This window comes from Homo sapiens, chromosome 14 (assembly GCF_000001405.40).
Source record: "Homo sapiens chromosome 14, GRCh38.p14 Primary Assembly".
NCBI lineage: Eukaryota > Metazoa > Chordata > Mammalia > Primates > Hominidae > Homo > Homo sapiens.
In genome coordinates, this window is record NC_000014.9 from 61,306,015 (window position 1) to 61,333,511 (window position 27,497).

Here is a 27,497-nt window from a genome sequence, read left to right on the forward strand (position 1 = left end):
TTGATCTTGCTAGGCTTTGTTTTGTTATGTATTATTATTATTTATTCTATGTCAGTTTTATCCTTAGTCCTGAGACATGGCCCTTTGTCTGGGACATGGTATTTACTCCTAAGGTCTATCCTCTTTAGAATTTCAATTGAATGGATGAGGTGCTTAGTAAGGTCTCTCCATTTAGGCTGGGACAGTATTCCAGTGTTTGCAGTACTGCACAGTCTATGATATCTTGGCCCAGTTCTCTTGTTCATAGCAACCATTCTCTGCTAGGCCTCATTAAGTCCTATCCTGCACATGGGCTACACAGGAATGCTTGTGAAATCTTCTTTGTCCTCTTCTTCTGCATACTCCTTTCTTTGTGGTATTCTGTCTTACAAATTTCAGGGATGACAACTACTCTAAACTTTTATCTAGATTTCTTCAGCTCAGCAAGACTTCCATACTTCCTTGGATTCCACTTCCTTTTAGTCTACTTGGTGTCCCCAGACAGAAAGCTGAAGAGGACGTGCAGATCACATTGTGTTTCCTTTCTCTCAAGTATCACTGCCCTGCAATGTTTGTTGTCAAATGTCTAGAATCAGTTATCTTGTGTATTTCTAGTTGTTTCTAGTGGGAGGATGTGTCTGGCATTAGCTACTATCTATGGCCATAAGTGAATGTCCTCTGATGTATGTTTTGGTATATTGTCTACAACTTAATAACGTACGAAAACACACAATCACATTTTTCCTTTTTAAATTTAAAGATCTGTCTTTCATTACTGTATTAGGCCACTACTCTTCATGATTATAGATATTCTTAATGTAACTTCAATAACCATTAGTTTGTTGAAGTTCCTTTAAATGACTGTAATTAACATTTCTAAATTATAATTATTAATAATTAATGTGAAATATACATCTGTACGACTCATTGCAGCTTTTACCAAACACTGAAAAGACATTTTTAAAGAGTTTAACACAAGATTTGGGTATAGAACAAAGTATATTCTAATATGCTTCTATTTTTTTAAAGTGAGATAAAATAAAATTTCAAGACAATAAAATCATCTATACAAACCTTGTTCACTGGTACAAGATTTAACTTGTAATTTTCTTAACAACAACAGGGCCGGGTGCAGTGGCTTGTGCCTGTAATCCCAGCACTTTGGGAAGCTGAGGCAGGAAAATCGCTTGAGGCTAGGAGTTCAAAACCAGCCTGGAAAGCATAGCAAGACTCTGGTCTCCACTATAAAAACAATAACAACAGTAAATAACTTTTTTTCCTACTGGTTATAATTTCACTGGCACATCAAAGAAAATTCCAGAAACAAACTTGTCACAGACATTGTATTTCTAAGAAAGGTGATATATACATCATCAACAACAGCATAATTTATATGTTTTACTTTATTGTTTAACAAACCATATCAAAGCAATCTAAACAATAATGCTGTTTAAATCAATCAATCAGATAAGGCCTATTGATCCAGTAATTTACTTGAGATAGGACCCGCTCTGGGAGCCTCTAGCCTTACATTCTGAAGACCCAGAGAATGTGTAATAAAAAACATGCAGATACTCAGCTCTGATTCTGGCTCCTCATCTGTAAAATAAAGGTTTGGTCTAGAGTTCTCTAGCATATCTTCAAATGGACCCATTTTTCCTGTGTTCGTCTGGCCCATCTTATTACAATGCTGTTTTTTTGTTTTTTATCATAAAACATTCATTCTATACATTTATTTTCATCTCAAAGTAATGATGGCCATATTTCTGTGTGATTATAACAATCTTCAAATAACTATAAATGGGAACAAAAATAAACATGCAGCTAAATGCCAGGTAATTTTATTTTATTATTTTTGAGTGAGACAGGGTCTCGCTCTGTCACGCAGGCTGGAATGCAGCAGTGCAATCAGGGCTTACTGTGACCTTGAAGTCCTGAGCCCAAGCAATCCTCCCACCTCAGCCTTCTGAACAGTCAGAACCACAGGCACACATCAGCACACCTGGCTAATTTTTAATTTTTTTTTGTAGAGATGGGGATCTCACTATGTTGCCCAGGCTTGTCTTGAACTCCTGGCTTCAAGTTATCCTCCTGCCTTGGTCTCCCAGAGTGTTGGGATTACAGGCATGAGCCACTGTGTCTGGCCCCAGGTAATTTGAAAACTTAAAATGTGTAACAATTATTCTATAAATATAATGCATTGAGTCTCTGATTGCTATTACATAAATGGACCAAAACTAAGAAACATAGCTTGTGCATTTACGTGGAAATATAGATGCTAGAATGATATCACTGCCTGCCACCAGTTATCTAAAACGGAGTCCAAGTTTTTAAAGTCATTTCCTAACTAATGTTAACAAGCACAGGTGTTTCCTGATTTCAGTTGTTCGGACTCTTAAAATGAGTAACTCAGGGAAATGTGTAAAATTCCTTTGTTGACTTCCTTTCTCCTGTATCAAGCCCAAGTTTCATCTTAGTACTCAGTGTGGTTTTTATATTATCACACCCATTGTACCCATGAGCTTATCATCTGCCTTTATTTTTGTTATACTCACCAGAGCACTTGTGTCTTTCTTGCTACTTGTGTTATTTTTCAAGTGTTCCTCCACATATATGTGTGTGTATGTTATATATTATTTTTTATTTATTTTTTGAGACAGAGTCTCGCTCCATTGCCCAGGCTTGAGTGCAGTGGTACAAACACGGTTCACTGCAGCCTCAAACTGCTGGGCTCAAGTGATCCTCCCACCTCAGCCTCCCGAGGAGCTAGGACTACAGGCATTTGCCACCACACTGGGCCTAGTTTTAAATTTTTTGTAGAGACAGAGTCTCACTATGTTGCCCAGACTGGTCTTGAATTCCTGGCCTCAAGCAATCCTCCAGCGTCAGCCTCCCACAATGCTGGGATTACAGGCATAAGACATCACGTCCAGCCTCCTGCATATTTAGAATCTCAGTTTAAGTGATTATATTTGGACTAAAAGAATATGTCAAAAATTCTACCTCTGAGCGGGGCACCATGTCTCATGCCTATAATCCTAGCACTTTGGGAGGCCAAGGTGGGAGGATCACTTAATATCTGGAGTTCAAGACCAGCTGGGCAACATACCGAGACCCCGCCTCTACAGAAAAATACAAAATTAGCTGGGTGTGGTGGCACAAGCCTGTAGTTTCAGCTATTCAGGAAGTGAGGTGGGAGGATCACTTGAGCCTGGGAGGTCGAGGCTGCAGTGAGCCGTGATTGTGCCGGTGCACTCCAACCTAGCTGACAGGAGTGAGACCCTGTCTCAAAAAAAAAATTACCTCTGATTTGAAGGTTCTCTGCAAATGGCAGGGTTGAGCCCCCTGCATAGTCATGGATCTGTGGCAGGGGCCAAAGGATGAGGTGAATAGGAGGGGATCTGTGGCAGGCAGGAAGGATAAAGCAAATGGAAGGGAAAGTGAGCAGCAGGATGAGGCAGAGCTGATAACATTAATACAATGCTGCAGGGCTTTGCAATGCGCTTTAAATTCAGTTTCTCATTTAATTCTGTGCAATTATATGATTTGTCCAAGGCCATCTAGCAATTTTGGGAGGATGCAAACCAAAGTCTTTGAAAGCTATTGTCTCCTATGCCTAGGGTTCTTAAACTTGAGAGAAGAAAAATCACCCAAATTTGTCAAATATTGTCAAATCCCAATATTTGGATCATCTAACTCCCCATGCCACCCCAAAAGGTCATGAATGGAAGATCTGAATTACCTTGCTATTACCTACTGGCTTCTAGAACTAAAATTATGTTGACTACTTTATTAGTCCATACTGCTATAAAGAACTGCCCGAGACTGGGAAATTTATGAAGAAAAGATGTTTAATTGACTCGCAGTTCCATATGTCTGAGGAGGCCTCAGGAAACTTACAATCATGGCAGAAGGGGAAGCAGGCACATCTTACATGGTGGCAGGCAAGAGAGAGTGCAAAAGGGAAAGAACCCCTTATAAAACCATCAGATCTCATGAGAACTCACTCACTATCACAAGAATAGCATGGAGGGAACCGCCCCCCCTCCGTGATCCAATCACTTCTCTCCCTCAACAAAACACATGGGGATTACAATTCGAGATGAGATTCGGGTGGGGCACAGAGCCAAACCATATCATTCCATCCCTGGCCCCTCCCAAATCTCATATCTTTTCACATTTCAAAACCAATCATGCCTTCCCAACAGTCCTCCAAAGTCTTAACTCATTTCAGCATTAACTCAAAAGTCCACAGTCCAAAGTTTCATTTGAGACAAGGCAAGTCCCTTCCGCCTATAAACCTGTAAAATAAAAAACAAGTTAATTCCTTCCAAGATACAATGGGGGTACAGGCATTCGGTAAGTACACCCATTCCAAATAGGAAAAATTGGCCAAAACAAAGTGGCTACAAGCCCCATGCAAGTCCAAAATCCCGCGGGGCAGTCATTAAATCTTAAAGCTCCAAAATGGTCTCCTTTGACTCCATGTCTCACAGCCAGGGCACACTGATACAAAGAGTGGGCTCCCATGGCCTTGGGCAGCTCCACCCCTGTGGGTCTTCAAGGTACAGCTCCCTTCCTGGCTGCTTTCGAGGTGTTGGTGTTGAGTGCCTGTGGCTTTTCCAGGCACCTGATGCAAGCTGTAGGTAGATCTACCATTCTGGGGTCTGGAGGATGGTAGCCCTTTTCTCACAGCTCCACTAGGCAGTGACCCAATGGGGACTCTGTGTGGGGGCTCCAACCCCACATTTGCCTTTGCAGTGCCCTAGCAGAGGTTCTCCATAAGGGCTCTGCCCTAGCAGCAAACTTCTGCCTGGACATCCAGGCATTTCCATACATCTTCTGAAATCTAGGTAGAGGTTCTCCAACCTCAATTATTGACTTCTGTGCACCTGCAGGCCCAACGCCAAGTGGAAGCTGCCAAGGCTTGGGGCTTGCACCTTCTGAAGCAACAGCCTGAGCTGTATGTTGGCCCCTTTTAGCCACAGCTGGAGCTGAAGCAGCAGTGCATGGGATGCAGGGTGCCATGTTCCAAGGCTGCACAGAGCAGAAGGGCCCTGGGCCTGGCCCATGAAACCAAGTTTTCCTCCTAGGCCTCCAGATCTGTGGTGGGAGGGGCTGCTGCCAAGATCTCTGTGACATGCCCTGGAGACATTTTCCCCATTGTCTTGGCAATTAACATTTGGCTCCTTGTTACTTATGCAAATTTCTGTGGCCAGCTTGAATTTCCCCCCAGAAAATGGGTTTTTCTTTTCTATTGCATCATCAGGCTGCAAATTTTTCAAACTTTTATGCTCTGCTTCCCTTTTAAACATAAATTCCAATTTCAGATCGTCTCTCTCAACTTCAGAGGCAAAATGCCATCTGTCTCTTGGCAAAAGGATAGCTCCAGTGTTCAATAAGTTCCTCATCTCCATCTGAGACCACCTCAGCCTGGGCTTCATTGTCCATATCACTACCAGCATTTTGGCTCCAACCATTCAACAAGTCTCTAGGAAACTCCAAACTATCCCATATCTTCCTGTTTTCTTCTGAGCCGTCCAAACTGTTCCAACGTCTGCGTGTTACCCAGTTCCAAAGTCACTTCCACATTTTCAGGTATCTACAGCAGTGCCCCACTCTTGGTACCAATTTACTGTATTAGTCTGTTTTCACACTGCTACAAAGAACTGCCTGACACTGGGTAATTTATAAAGAAAAGAGGTTTAATTGACTCACAATTCCACATGGCTGGGGAGACCTCAGGAAACTTATTTCGGTTGGTGCAAAGTAATTGTAGTTTTTGTAAATGTAATTGTGTTTACCTTTAATGGCAAAAACTGCAATTACTTTTGCACCAATCTAATACAATTATGGTGGAAGAGGAAGCAAGCAAGTTCATCCTACATGGCAGCAGGTGAGAGAGTGTGCAAAGGAGAAAGAGCCCCTTATAAAATAATCAGATCTCACAAGAACTCACTCACTATCATGAGAACAATGTGAGAGAAACTGCCCCTATGATCCAGGGTGGTTGACATGTGGGGATTAGAGGTCCCTTGACATGTGGGGATTACAGGTCCCTCCCTCGACATGTAGGGATTATAATTCAAGATGAGATTTGAGTGGGGACACAGAGTCAAGCCATATCAACTACATAGTGGGATTTTATTAAATTAGTACTGAAAAGAAGCAGTACCTTAATTTACCTACTTTACTTGTCCAGCATTTTGAATAAACATTTGCTAAATTTCTGTGTTCAAAACAAATGATTCTTGTGCTTCAGCTTCCTAAGCAGCTGGGATTACAGGCATGTGCCACCATGCCTGGCTCATTTTTGTATTTTTAATAGAGATGGAGTTTCGCCATGTTGGCCAGGCTGGCCAACATATTTTACACCAAATAGGGTCATGATGAATTACAGTTTGATAGCCTGCTTTTTTCACTAACAATATATTGAGAAAGTCTACAATGGCTACTCTAGTAAATAGCTATGGCTACATCCTGGTAAAATAGTCAATTTAAAGTGAAGCTCTCCATATTGGTCCATTTTCATACTGCTATGAAGAAATACCCGAGAATGGGTAATTTTTTTTAAAAAGAGGTTTAATGGAATCTCAGTTCCACATGGCTGGGGAGGCCTCTCAATCATGGCAGAAGGTGAAGGAGGAGCAAAGGCACGTCTTACATTATAGCAGGCAAGAGAGTGTGTACAGTGGAACTGCCCTTTATAAAACCATCAGATCTCATGAGATTATTCACCATCACAAGAACAGCATGGGAAAACCTTCCCCCATGATTCGATTACCTCCCACTGGCTCCCTCCACAACATGTGGGGATTATGGGAGCTACAATTCAAGACGCGATCTGGGTGGCACACAGCCAAACCATATCACTCTCCCCCCGCCTCCCACAGCTATGAAAAACATAACTAAGAAGGCCTGAGTGACCTCCTTAACATTAAGATCATTTGAATTGATAATAAACATTTTGTGTATTAAATTTTATCACTATAAAAACTATTCAGTTCAAAGGCTAAAAGAGTGTGTAGAGGTTTTCATAAGTGACCTAAAGGCAATTCCAAAGGATTTTGAAAAATCCAAGTATGATGCCCAAGGACAAGAATGAAATTACTGACTGGATGGTCACTGAGTATACCAGAGAATGCCATCAAGACCTAGAGAAAACCCAGTAAAGGGTAAAGAGAATGATGCTATTACCGCAAAATAGTCATTTTCCTTTCACAGGTTTCTTACACAAGCCATACAGTTTAATAATTTGGTTATGACTTGTAGTTAATAACTACTTGGCTTGTTAATGGACAAGAACCAAATGAGAAAAGTTAATGGAACAACCTGACCATTAGCTATATTAATAATAGCTTTAGAGAAAATGATTACTATTTTAAACCATATTCACATGCTTCTATCACTAATCCTTTTTTAAAATGTCAAAAATATTAAGTTCTGCATTCAGAATTAAAGAATTTTAAACCATTTTATTTTGAGACAGGGTCTTGCTCTGTTGCCCAGGCTGGAATACAGTAGTGTAATCATGGTCGGTGATCAGCCTCAACCTCCTAGACTCAACCACTCTGTATTAGTCTGTTCTCATGCTGTTGATAAAGACATACCCGAGACTGGGCAATTTACAAAAAAAAGAAGGTTTAATTGGACTCATAGTTCCATGTGGCTGGGGGGTGCCTCACAATCATGGTGGAAGGCAAGGAGAAGCAAGTCACATCTTACATGGATGGCAGCAGGTGAAGAGAGCTTGTGTAGGGAAACTCCCCCTTATATAAACGTCAGATCCCATGAGACCCACTCACTGTCATGAGAACAGCATGGGAAAGACCTGTTCCCATGATTCAGCCACCTCCCACTGGGTCCCTCCTACAACACGTGGGAATTCAAGATGAGATTTGGGTGGGGACACAGCCAAACCACATCACGATCCTTCTGTTTTAGCCTCCTGAGTAGCTGGGACCATAGGCATGTGCCACCACGCCCAGCTAATTTTTAAAATTTCTTATAGAGACAGGTTCTCGCCATTTGCCCAGGCTTACATTATTTTAGTTTGAAAAGATATTTTTGCCTCATTTGGTGACATGCTAGTTTTACGTGTTAGAAGTGGATACAAAGAAATGTTTGCAGTGACTAAATGCAGTTAGATTTGGCTCCCCTAAATAATTTATCTCTTCTTTTTTATTGTGTATGAAGTCTTTTTTTGTGTATGAAGTTTTTTTTATTGTGTATGAATCTACAAAACTATAATTGGGCTGTCATAAATCTGTTTCTTAATAGAATGGCAGCAAGGTTTTCCAGGGTTCACACTATTGCTAGAAAGGCACTTAGATAATATAAAGGATTTCAAAGGAAAATATTCTAATATGGATAGATTCAAGTAGGTGAGATGTCAAAAAATAAATTAGCCATAGAAGAGATTTGTATTTGTTTTGTTTACATACATAAAATATTTAACCTCACTCGATTTTCCTGTTAGAAAACAGTGGCAGAAATGTTTTATGAAGTCGTTGCTCTTGATCACCAGGCTGTCTGGGCAGTTGTCAGTACAAAGTGTTACTAACTTGATTGCTTTTTATGGGAGGATTATTTTTATTTGTGCTTTTCTGTTCTGATCTCAATCCCTGGAATCTGTCTTACTTAAGTGGACTTTTGAGGCAAATAGTCATCGAAGGCTCTTCTTTTGGGGAAACCTGAGGAAGGGCGAGAAGCTCTCCCTGTCTCCTGGATCTGCTTGCCCTCTTAGGACCCTTCCCCTTTGGGTTTCCTTCCCTTTATTCTCTCTCTCATCATGAGCTGTGCATCCACTGACACCCTAACAGACTGGCCGTCAGGACCCTTTGGCTAGCTGAAGTCCTCACTCTCTGATCTCAGCCCCCCATGCCACCCCGCCCTGACTTTGTCTCTGTTTCTTCCTCCAAGTCATTGAAGATCTTTCCTTTATCCATCATGAAGTCTGGAAACTTCCCAATGATATTTCTAGTTGTGGGTCGTTCTTTACTCGTTCTGCCCAATATGCTGCATCATTTTCAATATGAGACCAGTGTTTTTCTTTCATTCTGAGAAATATTACTATATCTTTGAAATATCTTACATTTTCTGTTCTTTTTGTCCCATGAGGAGGACAGTATGGCCCCACTTATTTAGATGTATCTTTGCATACTCAGAAATGGATATAGACAGGCACTTCTAGGACCCCTGCCCTGCAAACCACTCTCTCCTGCTTGCTGAGAGTCTCAGTCTTCCCCTTTGTACTCAGTGTGTAGTAGCGGTAGTTTTCAATCCTACTATCCGTTAGAATCATGCTGGGATGGAGCTTAGGCATTTATTTTTCCAAAAATTCGTCAAATCTCAGCTCTACCATGTATTAGCTATGTGATCCAATTCACTTAACGCTTCAACTCTCGGTTTCCTTATTTGTGAAATAGAGATAATAACATTTCATTTGGTTGTCATGAGGATCAAATGAATAATGTTTGTCAAGTGCTTTGTTGGCTGGTGGATGCTCAGGAAATTATAATACAGAAGCCAAGGTAACAGCTGAAGTGTACCATGTGCCTGGCAAGGTATCAAATGCCTTATGTTAATTATTTTATCTTCAGAGTCCTTTAAAATAAGTACATTTATTTGTACAATGCTCTGAAAATTGTTTTAATTTACCCGTGTTGCATTGTTTTCTTTATCCTTTTGTATACATATTTTTTGTACTTCTTAGCATATTTATATTTCTTACTCTAGTTTTCAAATGTTATTTACTGGATTTTTTTTTTTTTTGAGACGGAGTCGCTCTGTCACCCAGGCTGGAGTGCAATGGCGTGATCTTGGCTCACTGCAGCTCTTGCCTCCTGGGTTCCAGCTACTTTCCTGCCTCAGCCTCCTGGGTAGCTGGGATTACAGGGACATACCACCACGCCCAGCTAATTTTTGAATTTTTAGTAGAGATGGGGTTTCATCATGTTGGTCAGGCTGGTCTCGAACTCCTGACCTCAGGTGATCCACCTGCCTCGGCCTCCCAAACTGCTGGGATTACAGGTGTGAGCCACTGCGCCCAGCCTATTTACTGTTTTTTTCTATGTTGTTTATCATATATAATTTTAGTAATTACATAATATTCCATTAAGTTGCTATTCTATAATATACTCAGCCATTCCAATATGGCTGAACTGGTTCTTTAGGCATAGAACTCATTTTACTTTGAAACTTCTGATGTACACTGTCAAACTGCCCCTCAAAGCCTGTGCCATTTTATAGTAACACGGGGTCACATTTGACCTGGCTGTGTTATTCTCTAAATTCTCTAATTCTATTAAATGGAATGGGAGTTGTGTGAAATGTTCCTTAAGAAATTAGAAAAATGACAGTGATTCAATCAAGCAACCAATCAATTTAAAAAGCATTTTGATAATGTACTAGGAATTATATACAGAGAAGTCTAAAGTTATAGTGTGACTAAGACAAGAAACAGTAATAGTGATCATGGAATAAAACCCTCTAGTCTATAAAAGGACCTATAATACAGATATATCTATATTGCAATAGTTGCTATATTGTATCACATACAATCCATTAGTGATCAGCGTGGGATGTGTAGAGAAAGGGAACCCCTTGCTCCCCTGCTTTCAGGGTCAGGGCCAGCTCTGGATAAAAGTTGTTACATAGGAGAAGTTGGTATTGGCAGACAATTCCTTCTTACGGAGACCTTGTACTGTGTGCTGCTCCCTACCTGACCTTATGTCACATAACATAGGCTGGAGACAATTAGAGTTTTCCTGGAGATTAATTTTGAGATGCTGATAGCAAAGATCCTCATTCTGCTGGGGCTGTTAAGCTGGGAATGTAGGAAGTTGGGGCTGTTGATGACCATCTTCCCTGGCTGTATTTAGGGAGCCAGTTGCAGGAAGAGAAAATGAGGAACAGGGAGAGGGGAGCAAAACCAACAGGTGATGAGAGGGGGAAGGAAGGAGACAAAAAGTGCTTGAGCCAGATGGTGAGAGGGTAGCTTGACAATTACCACGGTAGCCTGTATTTTGCCTGTAGCCTTTTGGGGTTTAAATACTTCACGTCAAACGTGTGACTTCAATCAGGCAATTTTGGGCGGCAGGCTGAGAGCCACAACATAGGTGTTTCTTTTTAACTAAGGCCCATGCTTTTGCCATGTCTTGGGTGTCATTCCCTCCTGCAGTCTCAGAACGCTATGATCTCTCTCCTCGGTGTTGCTTACCCATTCTAAACAAGCCCTTCTTCTAGTGATTCCATCTTCTTCCTCAGCTCTCACTCTCCTTCCCATCCCAGCCAAACTTCTTGAAAGGGTGCCTACATTCACTCTCTCACACACTTTTCACCTCAACCTACCCTAACAGGCTTCCACTCACAACTCCCTACTGAAACTGTTGAAAGATTACTAAGGACCTGTCCATGCCAACTCCACATGCCATTCTTTTTAAATTTATTTTTATATTTTGTAGAGACAGGGTCTCACTTTGTTGCCCAGGCTGGTCTTGAACTCCTGGGCTCAAGTGATCCTCTTGCCTCAGCCTCCCAAAGTGCTGGGACTACAGGCGTGAGCCATGGTGCCAAGCCCATGTGGCGTTCTTTAGTCCTTGCCTACTACATCTCTTGACATCATTTGACCTAGCAGACAATTCCTCCCTGCTTGAAAACTTTTTGGTTGGTTTCCATAATACCTGGACACCACATCTTCCTGGCTACTGCTTTTCTCTTACCTCCCTGGCTACTGCTTGTCATCCCACTTGCCTGCTTCTCCTCCACCTATAAATGTTGGAGTTGCTGGAGGGCTCTGTCCTGGGTCCTTCTCTCAAGTTGCATTCTCTTCCTATCTTCCCATAAAGAGTCTGATCCACTATTCTAGCTTCAATTACTATCTGTATACCAATGGCTCCCAAATTTGTCTTTAGCTAAGAGACTGCCCCTCCGAGTGTCACAACCACATAGCCAATTCCCCACTTCAGATTTCTGCTTAAATGTATCAAGATATATCAAACTTGATAAGTTTTGAATTGAGCTCTTCATCCTCCCCTCCCACCCCCAACTCTTTATCCCTGCCCCAATCTCCTCTTGCCATGTTTCTTTCTTTTTTTGAGACAGGATCTCACTCTGTCACCCAGGCTGGAGTGCAGTAGCATGATCATAGGTCACTACAGTCTCAACCTCCCAGGCTCAAGTGATCCTCCTGCCTCAGCATCCGAGTAGCTGAGACTACAGGAACCTGCCACCACGCCTGGCTAATTTTTATATTTTTTTGTAGAAACGAGTCCTCACTTTGTTGCCCAGGCTGCTCTCTAGGCTCAAGTGATCCTCCTACCTTGGCTTCCCCTGTGAACACAGGCACGTGCCCTGGCTAGTTTTAAAAAGTTTTTTTTTTTTTTTTTTTGTAGAGATGAGAGTCTCCCTATGTCGCGCAGGGTGGTCTCAAACTCCTGGGCTTAAGCCATCCCCCCACCTTGTCCTCCCAAAGTGCTGGGATTACAGGCATGAGCCACCACACCTTGTCTCATGCCGTTTCTTAACTCCCTAATAGCTCCCTAGTCCACACAGTTGGCTCAAGCCAGATTCTGCAAGTCATCCTTGATACCGTCCTCTTCCTCATTCCCTTCAATCTGTCATCAAGACTTGTCAGTTCTACTTCTGAAACACTTCTTGAATTCATCTATTTATCTTCATCTCCATCACTACCACCTGAGTCCTGGCCACCATCTTCTCACCTCTGGACTTTGGCAACAGCTTCATAAACTGGTCTCCCCACACTCGTGCTGCTTCTTCCAATCCACCCCCGAGAGAGATATTTTATTTTACTAAAAAAATAAAATGGGACTACAGGCACATGCCACCACATCCAGCTAATTTTTTTAGTTTTTATTTTTTGTAGAGACAGTCTTGCCATGTTGCCAAGGCTGGTCTTGAACTCCTGGGCTCAAGCAGTACTCCTGCCTCAGCCTCCCAAAGTGTTGGGTTTATAGGTGTGAGCCACCTTGCCTGTCCCCAGAGAGGTATTTTAAAACACAAATCCTCATCTTACCCTGGCTCTGCTTAACAGCCTTCAGAGGCGTCCAGTGGCCCATAGATAATGTCCAAGGCTTTCCTGTGATCTACCAGTCTGGTCAGTGTGACCACCTTTGCAAGCTCATTTCAGCCACTCTCCCCTCACCTTCCTCAGCTCCAGCCACGCCTTCCTCAGCTCCAGCCACGTAGGGTGCTTTTGGTTCCCAAACAGGCCAACCCATCTGTCTCCTCAGGAGCTCTCAATGAGCTGATCTCTCTGCTATTTGCTTTTTCAAGGAACCCTTCCCTGACCACCCATCCAGTTATAATACATCACCCCTTGGCACCGTGGGCTTTTCCTTCACTGCACCCTCTTCTATTAGTTGTTTTTCCTCCTTGTGGGACTGTAAGCCCCAGGAGGGCAGGCACCATGGCTGTCTGACCCACTGCTCTGTCACCATTGCCAATCCTGATAGGTACTGATAGGGTGAAGATGGAGTGTCTGGTATCGTCATATCCCAGTCCCAGGACAGCTGTGTGGCCACCTACCATTTGGGGACTGTTTTCTTTTTAAAATTTAAAAAAAAATTTAAAGTCTACACCCCATGATTCTGTATGGGGACTGTTTTCTTTTAGCCCCAAAGTCCAACAGGAGCAAATCCTTTAGTGGCTCTTAAAGCTAGAGTTCAGCTGTTTGGAGGAAAGGGTGACAGAGCTGACCCACAGGGTAGATGCGACATCTTCCCCTGGAGCACTAAGGCCAAACAGGAGCCCCCTGGACGTTTGGGAGCAGGCTTTACAAGCCCTGCCTAAAGCTAAGATGTCATTAGAGTGATGCGTTGCATCCCTGCCTTGTTCTCTAAGGAAGCTTTGGTGTTTTCAAGACAGGCCCTTTCCCCCCTGGCCCATTGTCCTTACTTGTTTTCATTCTGTATAGTGCTGTTATTACGGGTCAGGCCTCCTTGCACTCATGTGAAATCGTTGAGAACCTACTCAATTAGAAAGTTCTGAACAGGGCCTTAGAGGAGTGGGGGCTAGAAAGATGAACCTGGGGCCAGGCACGGGGGCTCATGCCTGTAATCTTAACACTTTAGGAGGCAGGGGCTGGAAGATCACTTGAACCTGGGAGCTGGAGGTTATGGTAAGCCATGATCACACCGCTGTATTCCAGCCTGGATGACAAAGCAAAACCCAGTCTCTAAAACATAAAAGAAAGAAAGGAGGGAAGGAAGAAAGAAAGGAATGAAAGCAAGCCGAATCTGCTCCGAGGGAACCAGTATAGCAAGACAGAATGTAATCAAGTATCTTAAGAGTGGCCTAGGCTTGGCTGGGTGCTGTGGCTCACGCCTGTAATCTCAGCACTTTGGGAGGCCGAGGCAGGCGAATCACTTGAGGTCGGGAGTTTGAGACCAGCCTGACCAACATGGAGAAACCCTGTCTCTACTAAAAATACAAAATTAGCCGGGCGTGGTGGCGCATGCCTGTAATTCCAGCTACTCGGGAGGCTGGGGCAGGTGAATCGCTCGAACCTGGGAGGCGGAGGTTGCGGTGAGCCGAGATGGCGCCATTGCACTCCAGCCTGGGCAACAAAAGCGAAACTCCGTCTCAAAAACAACAACAACAACAACAACAAAAAGTGGCCTAGGCTTTTTGGGGAACAAATTGGTTGTGGCTGGCCCTCAGGGAGCAAGCTTTGCGGCATAGCAGCGTAGGCTAAAAGGTCCTCCCCGGAGACAAAATCTGCAGGGACCACGGGGTGGGAAGCATCAGAAGGCTGCCCACTCTGACTGCAAATACAACAAGCTGGAGTGTTCCTAGAAGAGGCAATTTCTTCCGCGTGTGTGTTGGGGACAGCCTGTGTGTGTGAACATTTTCTGCCCTTGCCGCGCAGAGCTGGGTGGACCAGAAACCACCCGCAGAGGAAGAGACTTATTACCTCTTGGCCATGTCTGTCTCCAGAAGAACCGACCTTTCCTGCTCTATGTGCAACAAGACACACCTTCCGAGGAAGGAGGCGAACAGGATTTCCATCATTACTACTGCCCTATTAAAACACACACATACACACAACTGTGTAATTAGCCTCTGCAGGAAAGGCGCACAAACAGGATGCGTTCGAGCTGACCCCGGGATGAGCCATCCCTGTAAATATTAGGAAAAAGAACCTCCCCGCCGTGCCCCCGCCTCCGGCCAGGGCCTCTTGGGGATGGCCCTGCAGGGTCACCAGCCCACCGGGGAGGTTGGGAGAGAGGGGGCGGGCGACTCCTCGCCGCGCGGGTTCCTGGCTGGAGCGCCCTCCTCTGCGTCCTCCCAACCTTCCATCGCTCCCCAGGTCAGTCTACCACGCCTCAGGTGTTTGCTCGGGCTGGGCCACGAACCCTTTCCTTTTTGGCCTGCGCCCGGGGTGGCCCCTAACCCGCAGCGCACGGCCAGACCCAGCGCTACAAGGAGGGCGCGCAGGGCGGCGCAAGCGGGCACTGGCCTCCCGGGGGCTTGCGCGGGGATCCACCCACCGCAGGGCCGGGCCGCGGACCGCGGGCCACGCCCCTGGGGTCCGGAAGGCGCGGGAGCGGACGCGGGGGTTCTGTGAACTTGGAACCTGGCGGTGCGAGGTTCTCGCCGGGGATGCGGCGGCGGCAGCTGCTTCCTGGTTTGAAGCTCGCCGAGTGGGGGAGAGCGTGAGCCTTCGGAGGCGGGGGCAGGAGGAGAAGCAAGAGGAGGCGGGGGAAGAGACGCTTGGGGCTGGGGCTCACCGGACGGGTAGGTCCGGCTCTCCAGGGAGAGGAGCTGCCCGGCCCTGGAGAAGGGGCGAGTCCTGCGCGAGTCCCCGGGAGGCGCCGCGCGCTTGGAAGGGACGGTCGGGCTTCCCCGGCCCGCTGAGGGCTCGGCGGCGGGCTCCCCTCCTTTCCACCTCGGGAGGGAGGGAAGGAGGGGAGGGAAAAGTCCCACGGAGGAGGCAGAATGGCCAGTCGAGGGGCGCTTAGGCGCTGCCTTTCCCCAGGGCTGCCTCGACTCCTGCACCTGTCCCGAGGGCTGGCCTGAGACGGGACTCCCGGTTCTCCCGCTGCGAAGCAGCGCGGCCCCCCGGGGCCGGGGCAGCGGCGCCGGCATGTCGTCTGGCACCATGAAGTTCAATGGCTATTTGAGGGTCCGCATCGGTGAGGCAGTGGGGCTGCAGCCCACCCGCTGGTCCCTGCGCCACTCGCTCTTCAAGAAGGGCCACCAGCTGCTGGACCCCTATCTGACGGTGAGCGTGGACCAGGTGCGCGTGGGCCAGACCAGCACCAAGCAGAAGACCAACAAACCCACGTACAACGAGGAGTTTTGCGCTAACGTCACCGACGGCGGCCACCTCGAGTTGGCCGTCTTCCACGAGACGCCCCTGGGCTACGACCACTTCGTGGCCAACTGCACCCTGCAGTTCCAGGAGCTGCTGCGCACGACCGGCGCCTCGGACACCTTCGAGGGTTGGGTGAGTAGCGGTGACCCCTTCCCTTTGTGTCCACCCAACCCCCGTTCCCCTTATGTTTTTCAAAACTCACCCGGGTCCCGCTTTCCCATCGCTTTGTGGCTGAGGGAATTCCCTCCAGACTTTGGTCTTCGTCCACGTGGCCGCGGCACTGGTGACGCGACCGCGGTGGGTGTGTGCAGGCGCAGGTGTGTCTCCAGGAAGCCGGCCTGGACACGATCCCCTTTCAGGACAGCGGCTTGGCCTAACGGGAAGTCGGGCAGGGGTCCAGGGCGGTCACCCTTTCCGCCCAGTCTTTGGGTAAGGAGCTCCAACTTTCAGCACGAGAGTGATAGGTAGGAAAGGCAGGGAAGGAGTGATACAAAAGGGACTTGATTTGGGTAAAGTGCTTCAAGCGCTACTTAGGAGAAAGCCGTACATTCTCGCGAGTATTATTCATAATGTTTATGGATACATGTTGGTTCAGCCGCTCAGACGTGCACACGTGTTTCGGCTTGCACATCCCAGAGGTACATGAGCTACACTGGCAGGGAAATGAGCGCCTGGGTCTGCACGTTGGCAGTTTTATTATTTAGCATTTTTCCAAGGAGATGAGATTTACATATACTTGCAAGTAACTTAGTCAGTCCGAGGTGGGAGTCCTGCAGTGTGGGTTTCTGCTGCTATGGGTCTGAGAAGAGGCTGTAAGGACTCCTCAGGAGGTTGTTAACTGTCTTCCCTCCCCCCATCACCAGCCTGTGTTCCTGGGTATTGACGTGTAGCTACCCGCAGCTCTCCCCTTGCCTCTGCTTTTCACATAGTTCCCAGGAGGCATAATTTCTGCTGTAAATCAATTAAAACTTCTAGAGCGCTCTACACGGTGCTAACATGCTTTTACTGCCTAATCCTCACACTGTCTTTGTGATGCAGGTGTCATCGTTCCCACTTTGAGATGATGGAATGATAATTATAATAAAGTAGTCTGGTTTGGCAAAGTGGAGTACGCCATTTGAAGACTCTCAGGAGTTTAATAGTTTAAGTTCTGGAGGGAGTCAGTTTTGAACCCAATATCAGTATTGAAAATGTTTGAAATTTACAAGTGGTGAAATCAGATGGATGGTGATGAAGGCTCATTTAGGTATTTATTTTATACTTTGTGGAATTAGTAATTTTACCGTATATTTTCTAAAATTAAAGATGGCTTGTGGAGCTATTCCTTTCTTTTAAATAGAAGTACAAAAACCATAATGACTAACCTTAATCGTCAAATTATATTGAGTTAATTTCCCTTCAGCCTAATTTACTTTGTGGTACTTAGAAGTGGGGACTAGAGAGGAATTGCTAAAATACAGTTAGATATTTACATTTATCCTGTGAATTTCTGGAAATGAAATAGAAGTGAGTGTAGGCATCCAGATGGAATTGTTGAGTTCTATTAGTGTCTGATTAGGAGTTAGGTCGGGCAAAGCTCTAGAGGAACTAGGTTCTGAATTATGGTGGTGCAGATTGGCCAGTGGCCATGAGAAGCATCTCTTCCTGGAGATAGCCTAGACTCGTCCTTCTCAACCATAATCTTCCCACTTGAATCACCCAGGGACCTTTAAAAAATCCCCACTTTTAAAGATTCTAGATAGGAATCTCTGGCTGTGGGACCCCATCATCCGTACTTTTAGGCTCACCAGGTGATTCCAGTATGCAGTCGAGGTGGAGAACCTGCAGCCTACATGAAGACCAAAAGATGAGGACTTCTTGGTGTCATAAGTGTAGGAAGATCCACGTTATCTGACTAGGTGGCATGTACAGAGCTGCTTATTGTTCCACTGGATGAATATTCAGTGTAAATCAGATATCGATATTTATAATGGTCTGAAATAATTACACTTAGATGTTTAATATAACCCACTGGTGGTGTTTTGGAAAACGTTGAGTGGTTGGTAGGGAGGGTCAGCATTTAAATGACCTTGAAACCAGCAGTTTTTCATGCGTTTGCATGCATCAGAAGGCAGATTTTTTTTTTGTTGTTTTTTTTAAAAAGGTTTTGGGTATTTCAGAACTGTAAGGATATGGAACATAGGTTGGGCAGAGTGTTGTTTCTTTTCTTTTTAAAGAAAATCTTGTTAAAAAAATTTGGAAATATATGGAATGCATGCTTTTTTAAAAAAGTATCCTTTATAGGTTCAAAAATGCTTTAAAAAAATAGAGATGGGGTCTTGCTACCTTGTTGACCAGGCTGGTCTTGAACTTGTGGCCTCAAGCCATCCTCCCACTTCAACCTCCCAAAGTGCTGGGATTACAGGTGTGAGCCACTGCATCTGGCCCAAAGGTGCTTTTGAAGTTCAGGATTAAAGAAATACTTATTTATCTTTAGTATTTTAAATTGACATGTAGTTTATTCAGAGAGTTAAATGTGGAATAATTGAATTTACTCCATAATAAATTTATGGTTGCAAGTGGAACTACAGATTACTGACTTAAAAAAAAACTATTGAAGTTGCAGGTTCAAAAAACCCCCAAAACCTAGTGACTTAGTTTTTGCTAGATCCAGAGAAGCTCTTAGCTGTAGGTTATGGATGAGAGGATTCAATATGGTTAAGATCTCAATTCTTCCCAAAGTATTCAATAGGTTCAGTATAATCTCAGTCAAAATCTAAGTTTGTTGTAGAAATTGACAGACTGACTTTAAAATTTATATGGAAATGTAAAGTACTGAGACCAGTCTAAGAATAGTTTTGAAAAAGAACAAGTTGGGGGACTTAGAGTATCTGATTTCAAGGCTAACTGTAACATGACCGTAATCAAGATAATGTGATATTGGAATAAAGAGAGTCATACAGATCAGTGGAATGAATAGAAGAGAGTCTAGGAATAGATCCACACATATATGACCCACTGATTTCTGATAAAGCTGCCAAGAAGGCAACTCAGTGGGGGAAATGATAGTCTTTTCAACTAATGGTGCTTGAACAACTGGATAGCCACATACAGTAATATGAGCCTTGACACTTACCTCACATCCTACAAAGACATTAATTCAAAATGGATTATAGACCTAAATGTAAGAGTTTAACTGTGAAACTTCTATAAGAAAACAAAATTGTAGTGACCTTGGGTTCAGCAAAAAATTTTTAGATAGCGTACAAAAGGCACCAACTATAAAAAAATCAGTAAGTTGGACTTTATCAAAATGAAAAACTATTGCTTCCCAGAGAATGTTTAAGAAAATAAAAACCCAAGCCACAAATGGGGGAAAATAACTGCAATACGTAAATGAAAGATGTGTAACATGAATATATAAAAGAACTCTAACAGCACAATAATAATGAGAAAAATACCTAATTTAAAATCCAACAAATGACTTGTAACTTGTCAAATATTTCAATAGGCACTCACCTTCATGCCAAATAGCACATTAAAAGATGCTCAAAATCATGAGTCATTAAGGAAATGCAAATTAAAACCAAAATGAGATCTCAGTATGTTCCCACTAGAAAGGTTAAAATTAATAAGACTGACCATACCAAGTGTTGGTGAGGAAGTGGAGCACCTGGAACTCTCATATGCTATGGTGAGGAATGTAAAATGGTAAATCATGTTGGAAAATAGTTTGGCAGTTTCTTAAACTATCAAACATATGCCTACTATATAACTTACTGTTTAGTATTTACTAAAAGAAATGAAATCATTCATACAAAAGCTTGTCCACGAGTGTTCATAGCATCTTTATTTGTAATAACCCCCAAAGTGGAAACAACTCAAATGTCAACAGATGAATGTTTAAACAATTGTGGTTTATCCATACAATGGAATATTACTCAGCAATAAAAAAGATGAACTATTACACATGTAACAACAGGAATGAATCTCAGAATAATTATGCTGAGTGAAAGAAACTAGACAAAAAAGTACGGTTTCATTTATGCAAAATTCTAGAAATGAAAAGGAGTCTATAGTGACAGGAAGCAGATCAGTGGGTGCCTAAAAATGGAGAGTGGAGGTAAGGGAGGTGGATTACAAAGGAGGCAGAAACTTTTAGGGGAGATGAATATTTGTGTTATTCTGATTGTGGCAATGATTTCACAGTTATATACATATGTCAAAGCTTATTAAATAGTTCACTTTAAGTATGTGCATGTTACTATATGACAATTATACCTGAATAAAGCTGTGGGGAAAAAAACCAATCAGCGCTTATCCATATTTTACTGAAGGTGTTAAGTAAGATGCTAGTAAATGACAGAATTTCAGCTGAGCCAAGTCTGACTCTTGAAAACTACATTTCCTCTTTAGTGCAGAAAATATTTATGAGAATGGGAGCGTAGAAAAAATGAAATCACAATAAAACAAATTAGTTTCTGATTTTTGGACATGGTCTCATTTTCTAAATTATCACTGTCAGTTTTTTTTCTGCTGCTTCTAGAACATGTTTATTTTGCATAATTTCTCTGGCTTCCAAAATCTGAAGAATTGCCTCTGTTTAAACTCTATTTTCTTCTTTCGTGTACTTGCTCTTGATTTGCTGACCTTCTAAATGGGGACCAGCATCTAATGCTTAATGCAGAGTGCTGGGGACATGGGGAGGCAGGAGGAGCTGGAGGCTGCGTCATGGAAAGACCTTGGCGCCCCCTCAGGAAGGAAGGACTGGCTTGGCAGGATCCCAGGCTGTTTTCCTGGTTCAGCCCTCCCGAAGACATTGTGTTCTCTGCAGCCCTGGAGGGCCTCTTTCTCTCAATTTCTCAGTGAGGTACCTGTTTTGTAATCAGTCCTGTCAGGTGAAGCAGCCATGTTACTACTGGACAATCATGGATTATCTTTTCCCTTCCTTCCTGGATCCAGGTGTCTGAATTTATACCACCAAAATTCTTCCAGATTTTCTATCTAGTGGTTCATTCTCTTTTGTACTTTGTAGTGCCGTTGTTTATTCTCATGATTGATTTTTTTCTGAGCCAATTGGAAGGAATGTCTAACACTGACTGATCAACCCACAGTGTTTAAGAGGAAAAATATATTTTAGAATCTTGAGGGAGTTTTATTTCAGTGTATGTGAATTGTATTGGCTATGTAGCGTCTTCATTTTCATTGTAAGAAGAATTTTGCTACAGTGGGACCGGCTGCTTCTCATCACAAACAGGTTGTGGCTCAGATATTTTCCCCTTTGGAGAGCATTTTCCTGGTCATATTATTATCTTGTTGTCTTTCGTTGCACTCATTGCTCTCTGAGATCATTTTGTTAATGAATTTGCTTATTATACTTTCCTCCTTTAGATTACAAATGGCTTGAGAGCAGGGACCCACCTCTCTTATTCACTGTCCTAACCCTGGGACAATGTCTCATATGTAGTAAACATTAAATATTTGTTAAATGAAATTTTATGTGATTGGGGGACAAGTAAAGTGTAAGTACTTTGGGAGCATCTTTCCATCTTTCTAAAAGAAAGAAATGAAAATAGTTGAGGAGTTACTGGATGAACAGTATTCCTCTGTTAAATCAATCAATGACATACCAATATGTGCTTGAAAGACTGGGCCTGGGCCGGGCGCGGTGGCTCACGCCTGTAATCCCAGCACTTTGGGAGGCCGAGGCGGGTGGATCATGAGGTCAGGAGATCGAGACCATCCTGGCTAACAAGGTGAAACCCCGTCTCTACTAAAAATACAAAAAATTAGCCGGGCGCGGTGGCGGGCGCCTGTAGTCCCAGCTACTCGGGAGGCTGAGGCAGGAGAATGGCGTGAACCCGGGAAGCGGAGCTTGCAGTGAGCCGAGATTGCGCCACTGCGGTCCGCAGTCCGGCCTGGGCAACAGAGCGAGACTCCGTCTCAAAAAAAAAAAAAAAAAAAAAAAAAGAAAGACTGGGCCTGACTGCTATATTCTTTGAATATGGTAATGGATTGAAAACCTTGTGTATGGAAAATTCCCTGCTCTTACGTCATTTTAAAAGACTATGATTTTAAAACTTGTAATACGTTATAACGTTTTTCACTTATAATTTTCACGCCCAAAATGTTAAAGTCAGGGCAGAAGCAAGACATCAGCATTTAAAAGGTTGTGCCTCAGCCTTGGAGAGGAATGAGGTTGGTGGGTGGAACGTGAATCATTTTATCTTATGCAACTCTTAGTGAAGTTTTGGTATCTAGTAAGTGTTAAGAATGGTGATTAGTGGTGATGGTAAAAGTGTGGTGCATTTTTATGAGAAGAGTAGCATTTGCGTAGAATAATAGAGGTGCCTGGGATTTTTGGTAGTCCTTTTTTATTTAATAAAGCAACTGGGGCCGCGTGCTATGGCTTGCGTCTGTAATCCCAGCACTTTGGGAGGCCAAGGCAATAGGATCCCTTGGGCCCAGGAGTTTGAGACCAGCCTAAGTAAAATAGTGAGACCCCATCTCCACAAAAAAATAAAATTAGCCAGGCATGGTAGCACATGCCTCTAGTCCCAGCTACTTGGGAAGCTGAGGTGGGAGGATCACTTGAGCCTGGGAGGTTGAGGCTGCAGTGAGCCATGATCATGTCACTGTACTCTAGCTTAAATGACAGAGCAAAACCCTGTCTCAAAAAAAAAAAAAAGCTGAAAAAACAGTCAACTAGATTGTGTTCCCCTTTTGTGTTGACTTCTTAGCTCCACTTTATTAGAATGTGATAAAAATGAGACCTAAGTGGAAACAATCCCTGTCCATTGTTTTCCACTCTTATCATTACTGTATCCAAAATAGTCTTTCTCAATTGCCAAACCAATAGTCATTTCTTTATTTAAAACTCCTCCTCTGTGGTTCTCCACTGCTCTTAGATAAACTCCTGAGTCTTTTTTTTTTTTTTTTTTTTGAGACAGAATCTCTCTCTGTTGCCCAGGCTGGAGTACAGTGGCACGATCTCGGCTCACTTCAACCTCCGCCTCCCAGGTTCAAGCGATTCTCCTGCCTCAGCCTCTCAGTAGCTGGGATTACAGGCACACACCACCACGCCTGGCTAATTTTTATATTTTTGGTAGAGACAGGGTTTTGCCATGTTGGCCAGGCTGGTCTCAAACTCCTGACTTCAGGTGATCCGCCCGCCTTAGCCTCCCAAAGTGCTGGGATGCAGGCATGAGTCACTGCACCCAGCCAAAGTCCAGAGTCTTTAAAATGGTATAGGATGTTCTCCATGATCTGTACCCTGTGTTCCTCTTGAGCCTTTTCTCTTACATTTCCCCAAATTACAATGAGCATCTTTCAGTTCCTCAAAAGGAGGAACACTTCGCTTTGCTAATTCTTCCTTGTGCTTCAGGTCTCATTATGGGCATTAATTACCCAGACAACTGTCCCTGATGTGCCAGTCTGGGTTTGGTCCTCCTCCTAGTGTTCCCTCAGTATCCTGAGATCTCTTTTGCCGCTGTCTCCTCCAACCTGAAAGAACGGACGTATGAATGGATTGGCCTCTAATGGAAGCGTGTGACACTGGTCACAGGGAGTTCAGGGTGTAGTTGTTTGAATGATTGACTAAGATTCATCCGCTTGGCTCTTGTAGTAGTGACTCTGACAGACTATTACATGTTTCTATTTGAAATGCCAAGCCCTAGGTGAGCATCCAGCCACCAATGAGCATGTACTAAGTACCAGGCATTGTGCTCTATCCTGTAAAGTCAAGTGGACAGGACACACATGACCCATTCTTTCGTAGGGCTTGTAATTCCAAGGGGGAGGGAGATTGGGATAAAAAGCAAACAAAAGCAACTAGGGAATTACAGAAGTACTTACAGGCAGGTAAGCCCCTGGTTTGGGGAGGTGGGGAACATCTTCCTGGAGGAAAAACAAAGAGCTGACTTTTAAGGACCCAGCCTAGAGAGCCACAGCCTGCTTCAGTTAAATGACTGTGAACAGTCTTTGCTCAAAAGAAGAAAAGGAACTTCTGACCTGATAATGTTTCCCAGAGGGACATCGCAGATGCCCTTTTGAAAGGTAAATGTTCCTGACCCACAGAAATGTTTCCATCTTTGGAAAGTTTGGGAGGGAACTGTTTCCATGCTTGTGAACAGATGACCTGCAAAAGAACTTTTGACTCCACAAAGGCAGAAAGTAGGAACACTATATTTGAACCATCAAATACCTTAAGTTTTGTATAGATCATAAAATAATCATAGATGTTGAAGCAGGATGATCATCTAATTCAGAACAACAACAAAAAGCCTGATAGCTCTTAGGCCTGCAGACAGCCTGTAGGTCTATTCATTTGGCACAGATGTTTTTAACATTGAAACTGAAGGCATTTAGTGCTGTGGTGCTCCAGTTTGCCACAGACCCCTCCACTCCCTGTTATGAAACCAACTCTCTTGACTCATTACTTGCTTGGACCTGGGACATTTTAAATTTTGTGACACTATAGCTCAAGCCTTTGTTTTCTGAATGTGGGAACCAAAGTTCCAGCCAAATCATTACTGTTGCCCTAACAGGGGTGTCCAATCTTTTGGCTTCCCTGGGCCACGTTGGAAGAAGAATTGTTTTGGGTCACACATAAAATACGCTAACACTAACGATAGCTGATGAGCTCAAAAAAAATCCTCAAAAAAATCTCATAATGTTTTAAGAAAGTTTACGAATCTGTGTTGGGCTGCATTCAAAGCTGTCCTGAGCTGCATGCAGCCTATGGGCTGTGGGTTGAACAAGCTTGCCCTAACTCATGAGAAGTGTAATATACATACATTTAATATGTATTAATATCTATCTAATCTATATCTACAAAAATACAGATATACTTACTTAGATTTATTTAGATATGTAATAATTTATTAATTTATAAAATGCATTAGTTTAGATATATATTTACTTAGATTTTTACTTACATAAAGATTTGTGTCCTAGTATTTCAGAGAAAGCTAGCTTACTAGTAAATATATGGGGAGTTAACTTTTACTGCAAATTAGTATTATATTAACTATCCAATTTAAAAAGAAAGCAAACTCTGCCAGGCTGGTATGGTGGTGTGCACCTGTAGTCCCGTGTACTGGGGAGGCTGAGGCAGGAGGATTGCTTGAGCCTAGGAGTTCAAGGCTGCAGTGAGAGCTATGATCGAGCTGCTGCTCCTCAGCCTGGGCAACAGAGTGAGACTTTGTCTCAAAAAAAGAAACAACAACAACAACAAAAAAACCCCTCTTTTTATTTCGTTATACAACTCCCAGCAATAGGGGAACACTGTACTTTAATGGGTGTCAGGAGAACTGGGTTCAAGCTGTGACCTTAGGCAAGCGTCTGCTTATCTGGGTCCCATTTCCCCGTTATATTGTGAGGGGGCTGCACTAAACGGTCTCCAAAGACTTTTATATCTCTAAAGCCTCTGCTTCCATGTGTTAGGCAATCACATAATTTCTTCCCTTTTGGAGTAATTGGTTTGGTTTAAACTGTCAAAATGAATTATGTGTTATCAAAGTTAGTAACTCCTAAGAATTAAATTGGTCCAAATCTAAATTGCTTAGAGTTGGAGAGGATTTAGCTCCCATCTAAGTGACTTGTATAGCATCGCTAGTGATGTTGGTATTATTTTCTTGGTTTAGAATCAGCCTTAAGGCAATACATTTCAAGCCATGCAGTTGTATTTCTTGATTTATGCTAACGCACTCCTTGTTCTATGGGATGGTTGTAAGTTATGTCCCTGTTACGGCAAGTCAGAGAGAGACTGAGAATCCCACTGTTTTGCTAGAAGCCATTCTCACTAGTTTGGCAATTACAGCATTATTGTCCCAAAGTATCTGTAGCTACCAGTCTATGTATCCACCCAGGGTGATGACAAATACTACAAATCACTGTAGGACAGACATTTTAATTAGAGGGAGGAATGAGCCCAAGGGTATTGACTATGGTAGTGTTTAAGTGCTGTGTTAAAGAATTTTATGAGACAGGAAATTTTTGTTGAGAATCATGGTCCTATCTGGAGATATTTATCAAGATTATTATGTTAGTGTGCTTCTGTAGCACCAGTAAATTAGAGCAGTATCTGTCAAAGCACATAGGACTTTTGTAGTAGAAAGCCCACTTAATAGGAAGCTTACCAGCAGTGCTTTTATTATGTACTGCCTTCCCAAAAGTTCCTTTGATTGCGTATAAGTTTTACCCTTGCACGCCTTTGACCTCACAGGGAGATAAATGCTTAAAAGTTACCAAAGATGTTTAGTTTGTGCTTGTGGTAAAAAATTAAGAAATTTGCCAGAGCATAAAACCATGGTCAACATGATCCCTGTCATAATTGCATTAATAAGTCATATAGGCCAGAGTGAGCATATTCTATACCTCGTCCTGTATTTCCAATTTCAGACCTAGCCTCTGTTCTCCATGCACTTAGACAAAAACCGCAAAGCTGCATATTTATTCGTAAGTCACATCTGTCCCTTGTACTAGCATAGCTCTGTCTCTCCACCTCTCGTGTCGCAAGCCCTTAAATATGATACACTCTTTCCTTACAATGGACTTTGGTTTTTGCGTCTGTGATGTTGGAGGGCTGGGCCCCTTGAGCTCTGTGGTCCTTCCGGTGTCAGAGTTTTGTGGTTCTGGTAATGGTTCCGTTGGACAATGGAAATTCTGCTCCCTTCTGAAATATATTCAGGAGACTTCTGATACTCAGATTTGTTCTGGGCTCTGAAATTATTTTGGGAAGCGCACCCAAAAGTCATACGTGTATTAGCCTAATTCCATAAACAGAATACATTTATTTATTTGCAAGCTGTGGGCCTCTTAGATGCTTTAATATAGATTACTGTTGTTTAATTATGGTACAGAAGAGTTGAGAGCAGATTCCATCTAAATCAGTGCTTTTGAAACTGTTGTCGAGCCCTAGACCCTTTTAGAGATGATGAGAGCTATGGAGCTGTTTCTGGAAAAATGCACATATGTGCATATTGATGATATTCTGGGAACAATGTCATCTGATTAGTAGCCCTCCTAAAGCCTTTCCTAAACCTTAAGGACACAGGACCTCAGGTTGAGAAACCTCAGTTGAAAGGGTTCAAAAATAAGGCTTTTATTAATTCCTAACATTCAGGGTGTGGTTCCAGTGTTTTCCTTTGTATTTGAGGACATTTTCACTTCAATTAATTATAGAAAATAGTTACTTAGT

The 27,497-nt window shown here is 43.3% G+C and overlaps 1 protein-coding gene and 1 long non-coding RNA gene across 11 annotated transcripts in view, besides 5 other annotated features; one reads left to right on the forward strand and one right to left on the reverse strand.

The window, feature by feature from the left end:
• The window catches only part of PRKCH-AS1 (PRKCH antisense RNA 1), a 28,119-nt gene extending 11,315 nt beyond the window's left edge, over nt 1-16,804 (reverse strand). For 4 of the 6 annotated variants that reach the window (NR_186037.1, NR_186038.1, NR_186041.1 and 1 more), the window contains exons 1-2: nt 16,521-16,804; nt 1,054-1,221 (exon numbers count right to left, since the gene is read on the reverse strand). This is a non-coding gene — a long non-coding RNA (PRKCH antisense RNA 1). The remainder of the gene's footprint in view (nt 1-1,053; nt 1,222-16,520) is intronic. The other 2 variants (NR_186039.1, NR_186040.1) reach the window with 1 other exon arrangement.
• PRKCH (protein kinase C eta) overlaps nt 1-27,497 on the forward strand; it is a 363,509-nt gene that overhangs the window by 118,547 nt on the left and 217,465 nt on the right. For 3 of the 5 annotated variants that reach the window (NM_006255.5, XM_011536957.2, XM_047431586.1), the window contains exon 1: nt 15,565-16,450. The exons of 1 other annotated variant lie outside the window; for it this stretch is intronic. In NM_006255.5, coding sequence (NP_006246.2) covers nt 16,088-16,450 — 363 coding nt within the window. In that variant the 5' untranslated portion in view covers nt 15,565-16,087. Of the gene's footprint in view, nt 1-15,564; nt 16,748-27,497 lie in introns of those variants that run through there. One more of the 5 variants, XM_047431585.1, reaches the window with a different exon arrangement.
• Nucleotides 12,437-12,731: a silencer, noted in NCBI's record as "tiled region #13098; HepG2 Repressive non-DNase unmatched - State 24:Quies". NCBI's record gives its function as "represses a minimal TATA promoter and a strong SV40 promoter by Sharpr-MPRA in HepG2 cells {active_cell/tissue: HepG2}" and the evidence as "EXISTENCE:reporter gene assay evidence [ECO:0000049][PMID:27701403]".
• Nucleotides 15,358-15,627: a silencer, noted in NCBI's record as "silent region_5817". NCBI's record gives its function as "represses an Ori minimal core promoter by ATAC-STARR-seq in GM12878 lymphoblastoid cells {active_cell/tissue: GM12878}" and the evidence as "EXISTENCE:reporter gene assay evidence [ECO:0000049][PMID:35858748]".
• Nucleotides 15,778-15,947: a silencer, noted in NCBI's record as "silent region_5818". NCBI's record gives its function as "represses an Ori minimal core promoter by ATAC-STARR-seq in GM12878 lymphoblastoid cells {active_cell/tissue: GM12878}" and the evidence as "EXISTENCE:reporter gene assay evidence [ECO:0000049][PMID:35858748]".
• Nucleotides 15,909-16,453: an enhancer, noted in NCBI's record as "H3K4me1 hESC enhancer chr14:61788641-61789185 (GRCh37/hg19 assembly coordinates)". NCBI's record gives its function as "activates a minimal SCP1, AML or CMV promoter by ChIP-STARR-seq in naive H9 embryonic stem cells {active_cell/tissue: H9 hESC(naive)}" and the evidence as "EXISTENCE:reporter gene assay evidence [ECO:0000049][PMID:30033119]".
• Nucleotides 16,454-16,997: an enhancer, noted in NCBI's record as "H3K4me1 hESC enhancer chr14:61789186-61789729 (GRCh37/hg19 assembly coordinates)". NCBI's record gives its function as "activates a minimal SCP1, AML or CMV promoter by ChIP-STARR-seq in naive H9 embryonic stem cells {active_cell/tissue: H9 hESC(naive)}" and the evidence as "EXISTENCE:reporter gene assay evidence [ECO:0000049][PMID:30033119]".